Genomic DNA, 11,258 nt, shown 5'->3' with positions numbered 1-11,258 from the left:
TTTACTTTCTCTTTGTCAGAACACTTGTTTGTGCATTTTTTCCTAGATCTTTTGCCTCAGTATTCCTTGCCTGCAATATGGAAATTGCAGACTGAATACACATAGGAAAAATATGTCCTCTAGGAGAATAATTACCAGACAAACCCTATCTACCACCATCTCCCCAACAAGGTAATTTCTGTTCCCAAGTTCTTCATGGCCAGAACATGCAGGATGAGATACACTAGGATTAGAACACATGACAACAAAAGCATTTAGGCAGCCTGATTTACCTGAGGATATTTTGACAGCTAGTAAAGTAAGCGTCTGGGACTGCTGGGATTCCTGCATGCAGCTTGACCAGGTAGTTGGGCCACTTCAAAGTGTACTGAGCACAAAATTTGCTTGCTCTATCAGTTCTCTCTGGCAAGATTTACTACCCTACTCAAAAGTTATTTCTATAAATACATTGGCTATGTAACTGTGTTCATCCATTCTTGTGTCACTACAAGGAAATACCTAAGGCTGGGTAGTATATAAGATAAGAGGCTTAAGGGGCTCATGGTTCTGTAGGCTGTATAAGAAACTGCACCAACATTTGTTCAGCTTCAGGTGACAGCCTTAGGAAATTACAGTCATGGCACAAGGCCAAGATTGGAAGTCAGCATGTCACATGGCAACAGCAGAAGCAAGAGAGAGAAGAGGGAGATCTCAGACTGTTTTAAACAACAAGATCTCACATGAACTGAGTGAAAACTCAGGGAGATGGTGCTAAACTATTCATGAGGAATCTGCCTCAATGATCCAGTCACCTCCCACCAGGTCCCACCTCCAAAAATGAGAATCACATGTCAACACTTGGAGAGGACAAACATCCAAACCATATTAGTAACATTACACAAATCATTCTTATTTGCATAATGTTAAATTATTTTGTCATTCTGAGAAAATATATAAATCAAAGAATGCCAGAAAAGAATTGTCAGTGAAATGGTGTTTGTTGGATTATGTGGGCATGGTCTAAACTTGCAGATGAATGGACAGGCTGTTTATTCATCTACTTTCTTTTTATCTAGTTCTATATTTAGTATCTCTTAGAACTCAAATGAAATTCTGGGAAACATGGAGATGTCTGGAGTAGGCATGTGACTTTAGCAGAAAAGAAACACTTAATTTTTGGCAAAATATCAAGTATCCAAAACTGAATAACATAGACATAATATATAATAAGGATTTGAGAAAGACATTTCCTTAAAATATTTTCTGAGAAACTTTCATTCTGGTTCATCCTCCTTCTATTCCTCTGGTGTGACTGCTTCTAAGCATACAGACAAGGAAATCAACTTCATCATCACCTTCTTACACCGCATATAAGATTTTTTGATAGCAGGAACATGAGTGTGGATTAAAATCTGTGCTGCCATTGGATTCTAATGCACTTCAAATTGTTGTGGTACAGTTTTATGTAGCTGAAACAATTTTGATCAATTTGTGTGGTAGGCTTAGATGTTAGTCATGTAACATCCTCAGTTATTAAAAAGGAGTTAATATAGTTCTTCAGAGATAAATTACATTCAGTATCACAGTGCATTGCACTTCTGAAATGCATATAGAAACTAGATGGTGAAATGGACCACATACTATAAAGAGAATGTCATAACTTTAGCACCTTTGATTGTGTGAACTACAGCACTGTTGAAACTCCCCAAGTCCCTGATTTTTATACAATTTCTAACATAGACCGTGGTTTTAATCCTAAGCATGTCCATGATTTTCAAATATGTTTTATTTCTTAAAATCAGTTGAAAGTCAGTATTTATTACAGCCTACGTACTTTTATTTCTTAAAATCAGTTGAAAGTCAGTATTTATTACAGCCTATGTACTTTTATTACTTTTAGAATTCTCATTAAATTACTAGAGTTATGCAAATTGCACGTTAATTCATTCTATAAAATAATAAAGATATCATCTGTTTTAAAAAGTCCTTTCCATACTGAAAACAATTGTATACTTCTGTGTTATTTTTGTTACCTCTGTCAAGATTTTACTATGAATTTTTAAAAAGTAATTTAAATTACAAATATAGTTCATGTATTCAGACACAAAGTGATCAAAAAAATCCAATGTGCCATTGCAATAGTTTGATTTGCAATATAGGTTAATACATAATCAAAACCTACTACTGGCTAGAAGACTATTTTCAAAGGAGTTGCACAAATTGTAAGCCTTTTTCATTTTCAGAGATTTGATAAGAAGAAATTGAATTTTCCAAGAATCATCATTTCATTTTATTTAAATATATCTCCTACCTACAAAACAGCAGCTTTACCCATTGTTGCACTTCAGGTTTGGCTGCAAAAGTAACAAGATTTTTAATTAGGAAATATCATGTTCCCATATTCTAAAGGATTAATTTTCTCTCCATGGTAAAAGTATATGGGACTCAATCTCATATACTTTTATACAATATTTCTCTTCCCATCTCATTCAGAATCAAAAACAAAATTCTCCCCATGGCTCATAAGGCCTTAAACAATCTGCCCTCACTCCAACCCAATATCAAGCCTATCTTCAACCACTCTCCCCTTGGTTTGCTTTTCTTCTGCCAGTCATGTCTCCTTGCTATTCTTTCTATGCCAAAACATATCCCTGGCTCAAGGCCTTTGCAGTTACTGTACCCCATGTCCGAAATGTTCTTTGCCCAGAGAGCCACGTGGCTCACTTCATCAGTTCATTCGACACCCTGTTCGATGTTATCTCAGAGAAGTAAGTCATTCTACCCAAAATCTCCCATCTCTTACCTCATCCCTCTCTATTCTCTTCTGTCCATAGCAGGTGCTCAAATATTTGAAATGTCTGAATGAATGCTGTAAGAAAACAGTGGTGGCAAAGATTAAACCATTTTTCCCAAGCCTGAGGGACATCTTCATGATAACCCTTGACATGAGTCTGGAAGGATGAGTAGGAACTCACTAGGCAAGAAACAGAATGCAGTTGTGCATAATAGCTGGTGGCTCAGGAAACTGAAATACAGAGTAAAAGGGGGTGAGCAGCTGGAGATGGAGCCTTGTCTGCCTTGCAATGGAACTTGGTCACTGCGAAGCAATTACGACTTTTAACTCTGGAGAAAGAGCTGATTTTCAACAAGATTAGGACTTTTTTGAAATACTTCACAGACAAAAAGAAATAGCATGAAGGACAGAAGTGAGGCAAGTAAGAATAGAGTCCAGGAGACAATTTAGTGGCCTAGCCTAATAGTCATGAGGGGAGTTTGAATTTAGGCTGTATAATACAGAGCGGTAAAAAAAAAAAAAAGGATGCCTTTTGATGATTATTCCATGTAAATAAAACTTGTAGTCATGTAGAATATTTTTCTTTCTTTATCTTACTATAATTTGCTGAGCAGATGCAATATGAAAAAAAGGAGAGAAATAAATACAGAAAAGTATCTAGTTCATTGGACAACTTACCACATTCTCTAAGAGATACCAGATGAATGGTGATGATCTCACCAGGTGCTGCTGCTCTTTGAAACTGCAACCACTAAAATACATACTAAAAAATGTTTCTAGAGCTTTTGAATTCCCATGAGACAAATGCATTTGAAAAGGCTTGCAGGTAATACATGGAAAATAATTGTAAGCAGTATGTAGGGAATCTGATGAGTAGAAAGGACTGCTCAAAGGAAGATTAATACACAGTATTAAACTTAAATCAATAAAATTCTCTCTGGACTCAAGTACTATCTGGTCTTCACTTGGGTGATAAAACTGAATAATGAAACAAACCATTCCATCATTTTTCCATATAGCAGCCAGAACTATGGCCTGAAGATGAAATTTTGAAAAGATTAGAAACTTTTTCATGCTCAAAATAGCTTCATATCTAATAAGATTGTACCCAAATACATTATTTGGTGTAGAGAAAACTGTAAGGATTCTTTGCTTTTCTGCCTTATTTTCTACTAGGTAGAAGCCACTCTGCTTATGGATTTAAAGAATATGATGACTACATTTGCAGGTATATTAATACATTACCTCTCTCAAATCCAAACCCATCTTCTTTTCCTACACAGACTACATTTCTTTTTTGCTAATTGGCTCATTGTTAGGCACAGCCAATCAAGAGTTCTGGAGGGATTCTGCCAGGTTAGAAGAGAAAGAAGGGATTTGCAGAAGTTCCAGGAGCTAGTGACTATCCTGGCAGTTCAGCAGCAGATGCCCTCCAACAAAGGCCACCACAGTAGTGGTGGCTCTCAAGTTATTAAGCCAAGCAGTCTCCATCAAATTCCTTGATCACTGTAGTAGTGAGCAGCATCTTCCGGTGGCAGCCACACCTTCTACGTAGAGATCTGAATCACAGCCCTATTGATTCTTTCTCTAAATTCCTTTCTTGTGTACTTTCCCCCTATCTCTGGAAGTAGTAGCCCATAGTTACTCTCTACAGATGCTTCCTCTGTACATTTTAGTGTTCTCTTTTACCCTTTTTAATAGTTAACCACTTTTATCTCATTAAAAATACTTTATATAAAATTTTCCCTGCTTAAATTACTGACACGGTTTCTGTCTTTTGACTGGACTCTGATATAGTTTATGTTTGGAAATATGTCACATGAATATTTATTCATCTCGCTCAATATTATGAGAGTTATAAAATTAAAACACAAATTCAGTTAAAAACTAAATGAGAAATTTGAATATGCATATTCATTAATCTGGTAATCCTCTAATAGGTAATTATCCTATGAGAATTATTGGATAAGTGCCCAAAAATTAATGCATAAGAATATTTTTATTGAAGTTTAAAAGAACAGAAACAGATTGAAACTATTTCAAATATAAAAGGAGACATATTGAAGGATACCTAAAGGTCATAAAAGCAATGTGTTGTAAATAAGTACAGCTGGGAAGAATTCATGCAAACTTAAACTACTAACTAGAAAGTGGTCAAAACCAAGGCAGCGGCTTTCTCCATCCACCTCACAAGAACCAAATCATCTATCCTCACAACCTGCTCTCCCAGTCCCCCTTATTCTGCTCTTTCTTTTCTTTCCATAGCATTCCAATAGCTATCTCACTCATTTAAAATGTCAGTTGTTTATTGCCTCCCTTCTCTAGAAAGCTTACTATATGAAAGCAAAAATCTTGGTTTTATTCATTTATGTATCCCAAGCAGCTAGAACAATAAGTGGCACATAGTAGGTGCTCGTATGTCTGCTCCATTTTTTCTCTTTCTATAGATTTCCAATTTCTTTTTAATCCCTAGCTTACACATGGTCATATATGTCTTGATTGTGGTGGATAAGCTTTTTCATGTGCTGCTGGATTCAGTTTGCCAGTATCTTATTAAGGATTTTTGCAACTCAACTATAAGTGGTTAGCACAGTTTTTTTTAGTTCCATAGTTCCAAATTGTTGAGCAAGAAACCTGCTAGTACTCATCTCATCTTTTTGAGCCAAGCCAAAAGTTATGAAAGCCTAGATTAATCCTCCATTTGTGGAGGGAATGCTGAATGCCATGTCCTCTATTCCACTGCCCATTTGAAATTCATAAGGAGATATGGATGGGTCAGGAAATGTTCTGCATTTCTAATACAAAAGGAATTCCTTATTGTAGCATTATTTTCAGTAACTATTTAGTAGCATTATTTTAAGTGTAATAATAGAAACTAAGTACCTCTTCATTCATATCCACATATTAAAAGTTACAATACAGACTATGTTTTATTCACATGGAAATATATTTATTATATATATATATATTTAGATTTTTTAAAGACATAAAATAAAAAAGAGTAAGATTTTAAGGAGGAAATGCTCAGACATTGACAAAACAAGCATCAAAAACATCTAGGAAAACATGACCACACCGAGTGGACTAAATAAGGTGCCAATGACCAGTCCCAGAGGGGTGAAGATATGTGACCTCTCAGAGAAAGAATTCGAAATAGCTGTCTTAAGAAATCTCAGTGAACTTCAAGATAACACAGAGAAAATTCAGAATTCTATTAGATAAATTTAACAAAGAGATTGAAATAATTTTTAAAAACCATGCAGAAATTCTGGTGCTGACAAATTCAATCGACAAACTGAAAATACATCAGAGTCTCTCAATATCACAATTGATCAAGCAAAAGAAGTAGTGAGCTGAAAGACAGGCTATAAGAAAATACACAATCAGAGGGAAAAAAAGAGAATGAAATAGAATGAAGCATGCATAGAGGATCTATAAAATAGCCTCAAAAGGGAAAATCCAAGAGTTATTGGCCTTACAGAGGATGTTGAGAGAGATCAGAGAAGAAAGGTTATTCAAAAAAAAAACAGCGGAGAACTTTTCAAACCTAGAAAAAGATGTGAATATTGAGGGACAAGAAGGTCAAAGAACACCAAGCATATTCAATCCAAATAAGACTATCTCAAGGCATATACTAATCAAACCCTCAAAAGAAAAGAAAGGATTGTAAGAGCAGCAAAAGAAAGCAAATAACATATAAAGGAGCTCTGATATGTCTGGAAGAAGACTGTTCAATGGAAATCTTTGAACAGAGGCAGTGGGATGACATTTTAAACGTGCTGAAGGAAAAAAGTTTCAACCTAGAATATTGTATCCAGAAAAATTACCCTTCAAATCTGAAGGAGAAATAAAAATTTTCTCAAAAACAAAAGCTAAGGGATTTGGGCAACATCAGACCTATCTTACAAGAAATGCTAAAGGAAGTTCTTCAATCTGAAAGAAAAAGACATTAACAAGCAAGCAGAAAGTATCTGAAGGTATACAACTCACTGGTAAAAGTAAGTACATTTAAAAAATCTCAGAATAATACTATAATTTCAGTGTATCATACACTCATCTTTTTTTTCAACTTTAAGTTCAGAGGTATATGTGCAGGATGTGCAGGTTTGTTACATAGGTAAACGTGTACCATGGTGGTTCACTACACAGATCATCCCATCACCCAGGTATTAAGCCCAGCATCCATTAGCTATTCTTCCTGATGCTCTCCCTCCCCTACGCCACCCAACAGGTGCCCAGTGTGTGTTGTTCCCCTCCACATGTCCATGTATTCTCATCATTCAGCTCCCACATATAAGTGAGAGTATGCAGTTTTTGGTTTTCTGTTCCAGTATTAGTTTGCTGAGAAAAATGGCTTCCAACTACATCCATGTCACTGCAAAGGACATGCTCTTATTCCTTTTTATGACTGCATAGTATTCCATGGTGTATATGTACCACATTTTCTTTATCCACTCTATCATTGATGGGCATTTAGGTTGATTACATCACTTTGGTATTATAAATAGTGCAGCAATGAACATACACATGCATGTGTCTTTATAACAGAATGATTTATATTCTTTTGGGTATATACCCAGTAATGGGATTTCTGGATCAAATGGTAATTCTGCCTCTTTGTCTTTGAAGAATCACTACACTGTTCAACAATGGCTGAACTAATTTATACTCCCACCAACAGTGTAAAAGTGTTCCTTTTTCTCCAAAACCTAGCCAGCATCTGTTGTTTTTTTACTTTTTAGTTATAGCCATTCTGATTGGCAGGAGACGGTATTTCATTGTGGTTTTGATTTGCATTTCTCTAATAATCAGTGATATTGAGTTTTTTATCATATGTTTGCTGGCCACATGAATGTCTTCTTTTAAGAAGTGTCTGTTTAATGGAGTTGTTTTTTTCATGTAAATTTAAGTTCCTTGTAGATTCTAGATATTAGACCTTTGTCAGATGAATAGATTGCAAAACGTTTCTCCCATTCTGTAGGTTGTCTGTTCACTCTGATGATAGTTTATTTTGCTGTGCAGAAGCTCTTTCATTTAATTAGATCCCATTTGTCAATTTTTGCCTTTGTTGCAATTGTTTTTGGCATTTTTGTCATGAAATTTTTGCTTATGCCTATATCCTGAATAGTATTGCCTAGAATTTATTTTAGGATTTTTATAGTTGTGGGTTTTCCATTTAAGTCTTTAATCCATCTTGAGTTAATTTCCAGTTTCAATTTTCTGCATATGGCTACCCAGTACTCCCAGCACCATTTATTAAATAGGGAATCCTTTTCCCATTGCTTGTTTTGGTCATGTTTGTCAAAGATCAGATGGCTGTAGGTGTGTAGTCTTATTTCTGAGTTCTCTTTTCAGTTCCATTGGTCTATGTGTCTGTTTTTGTAGCAGTACCATGCTGTTTTGGTTTCTGTAGCCTTTAGTATACTTGGAAGTTAAGTAGCGTGATGCCTCCAGCTTTGTTCTTTTTGCTTAGGATCGTCTTGGCTATTTGGGCTCTTTTTTGGTTCCATATGAATTTTAAAATAGTTTTTTCTAATTCCATGAAGAATGTCAGTGGTAGTTTAATGAGAATAGCACTGAATCTATAAATTACTTTGGGCAGTATAGCTATTTTCACGATATTGATTCTTCCTATTCATGAGCATAGAATATTTTTCCATTTGTTTGTATACTCTCTGATTTCTCTGAGCAGTGGTTTGTAGTTCTCCTTGAAGAGGTTCTTCACTTTCTTTGTTAGCTGTATTCCTAGGTATTTTATTCTTTTTGTAGCAATTGTGAATGGGAGTTCATTCATGATTTGGCTCTCTGTTTGCCTGTTGTTGGTATATAGAAATGCTAGCGATTTTTGAACATTGATTTTATATCCTAAGACTTCGCTGAAATTGTTTATCAGCTTCAGAAGCCTTTGGGTTGAGACCATGGGGTTTTCTAGATATAGGATCATGTCATCTGCAAACAAACATAATTTGACTTCCTCTCTTCCTATGTGAACAGCCTTTATGTTTTCCTCTTGCCTGATTGCCCTAGCCAGAATTTCCAATATCATGTTGAATAGGAGTGGTGAGAGAAGCATCCTCGTCTGGTGCCGGTTTTCAAGAGGAATGCTTCCAGCTTTTGCCCATTCAGTGTGATATTGGTTGTTGGTTTGTCCTATATGGCTCTTATTATTTTGAGGTATATTCCTTCAATACCTAGGTTATTGAGAGTTTTAAACATGAAGGGATGTTGAATTTCATTGAAGGCCTTTTCTGCATCTATTGAAATGATCATGTGGTTTATTTCTTTAGTTCCATTTATGTGATGAATCACATTTATTGATTTGCATATGTTGAACCAACCTTGCATCCCAGGGATGAAGCCAACTTGATTGTGGTGGGTAAGCTTTTTGATGTGCTTCTGGTTTGCCAGTGTTTTATAAAGGATTTTTGCATTGATGTTAATCAATGATATTGGTGTGACGTTTTCTTTTTTGTTGTATCTCTGCCAGGTTTTGGTATCAGGATGATGTTGACCTCATAAAATGAGTTAAGGAAGAGTCCTTCCTCTTCCATCTTTTGGAATAATTTCAGTAGAAATGGTACTAGCTCCTCTTTATACCTCTAGTAAAATTCAGTGGTGAATTCATCTGGTCCTGGGCTTTTTTTGGTTGGTAGGATATTTATTATTGTCACAACTTCAGAACACATAAGTGGTCTACTCAGGTATTACATTTCTTCCTGGTTCAGTTTTGGGAGGGTGTATTTGTCCAGGAAATTGTCCATTTCTTTTAGATTTTCTAGTTTATGTGTATAGAGGTGTTTATAGTATTCTCTGATGGTTGTTTATTTCTGTGTGGTCAGTGATGTTATTCTCATTATCATTTCTGATTGTTACACTCATATCATTAGTAGGAAGACTAAAGGACAGATCTATCAAAAATAACAACAAAAATTTATTAAGAGGTAGATAACTTAAAAAGATATAAACAGATACAATAAAAAGTCAGAAAGTGGGGCACATAGAGTTAATGTGTAGCATTTTTTAGTTTTCTCTTTGCTTGTTTTTCTTTTCTTGGTAATCAGAGTTAAGTTGTCATCAGTTTAAAAATATTTAGTTATAAGACATTATTTACAAACCTTATGATAGTCACAAAACAAAAACCTGTAACAGATGCACCATCAATAAAAAGCAAGAAATTAAAACATGCTACCAGAGAAAATTGTTTACAAAATAAAACAGGAAGAAAGAAAGGACAGAAGAGAGGACCAACAAAACAACCAGAAAACAAACAACAAAGTGGCAGTAGTATCTTCTTGTCTATCAATAACAACACTGAATGTAAGTGGACTAAATGTTTCCATCAAAAGACATAGAGTGGCTGAATGCATATAAAAAATAATGCTCAACATTATGTTCCCCAAAGAAATTCACTTCACCTATAAAAAGACACAGACTTAAAATAAAGGGACTGAAAAAGAGAAAGAGGAGGAGTAGCTATACTTACATAAAATAGATCCCTAGACAAGCCCTGTAAAAAGAAATAAAGAAGGTTACTATAGAGAGATAAAAAGATCATTCAGCAAAAGGATATAACAGCTGTAAATATATATGCACCCAATGCTAGAAAACCAAGATTTTTTTTAACTTTTATTTTACATTCAAAGGTATATGTGCAGGGTTTTTACATAGGTAAAATTGTATGATAGGGATTTGTTATACAGATTATTTCATCACCCACGTATTAAGCCTAGTAACCATTAGTTATTTCTCCTGATCTTCTCCCTCCTTCCACCCTCTGATAAGCCCCAGTGTCTATTGTTCCCCTCTATGTGTCAATGTGTTCTCATCATTTAGCTCCCACTTATAAGTGAGAACATATGGTATTTGGTTTTTTGTTCCTGTGTTAGTTTGCTAAGGAATATGGCCTCCAGCTGTATCCATGTCCCCGCAAAGAACATGATCTCATTCTTTTTTATGGCTGCATAGTATTCCATGGTGTATATGTGCCACAATTTGTTTACCCAGTCTATCATCAATGGGCATTTAGGTTAATTCTATGTCTTTGCTATTGTGGATAGTGTTACAATGAATATAAACATGCATGTGTCTTTATGATAGAATGATTTATATTCCTTTGGGTATATACCCACTAATGAGATTGCTGGGTCAAATGGTATTTCTTTCTTTAGGTCTTTGAGGAATTGCCACACTGTCTTCCACAATGTTTAAACTAATTTACACTCCCACCAACAGTGTATAAGTGTCTCTTTTCCTCCACAACCTCACCAACAACTGTTATTTTTTGACTTTTTAATTATAGCCATTCTGACTGGTATGAGATGGTATCTCATTGCGGTTTTGAGTTGCATTTTTGCAATGATCAGGGATGTTGAGTTTTTTTTTTTTCATATGATTGTTGGCCACATGTATGTCTTCTTCTGAAAAGTGCCTGTTCATGTGCTTTGCCCACTTTGTAAAGTGGTTGTTGAGTTTTTTCCTGTAAATT

At 35.2% G+C, this 11,258-nt stretch overlaps 1 long non-coding RNA gene across 1 annotated transcript; it reads right to left on the bottom strand.

The window, feature by feature from the left end:
• Positions 1–2,292: 2,292 nt before the first annotated feature.
• On the bottom strand, positions 2,293–10,280 carry LOC107984644 (uncharacterized). Its single transcript, XR_001750927.1, has 3 exons — positions 10,257–10,280; positions 2,783–2,848; positions 2,293–2,333 (listed from the first exon to the last, which is right to left on the bottom strand). It is a non-coding gene; the product is annotated as an uncharacterized LOC107984644 (long non-coding RNA).
• Positions 10,281–11,258: the final 978 nt, after the last annotated feature.

Source organism: Homo sapiens, chromosome 14, assembly GCF_000001405.40.
Source record: "Homo sapiens chromosome 14, GRCh38.p14 Primary Assembly".
NCBI lineage: Eukaryota > Metazoa > Chordata > Mammalia > Primates > Hominidae > Homo > Homo sapiens.
This window is presented reverse-complemented; position numbering and strand designations above follow the sequence as displayed.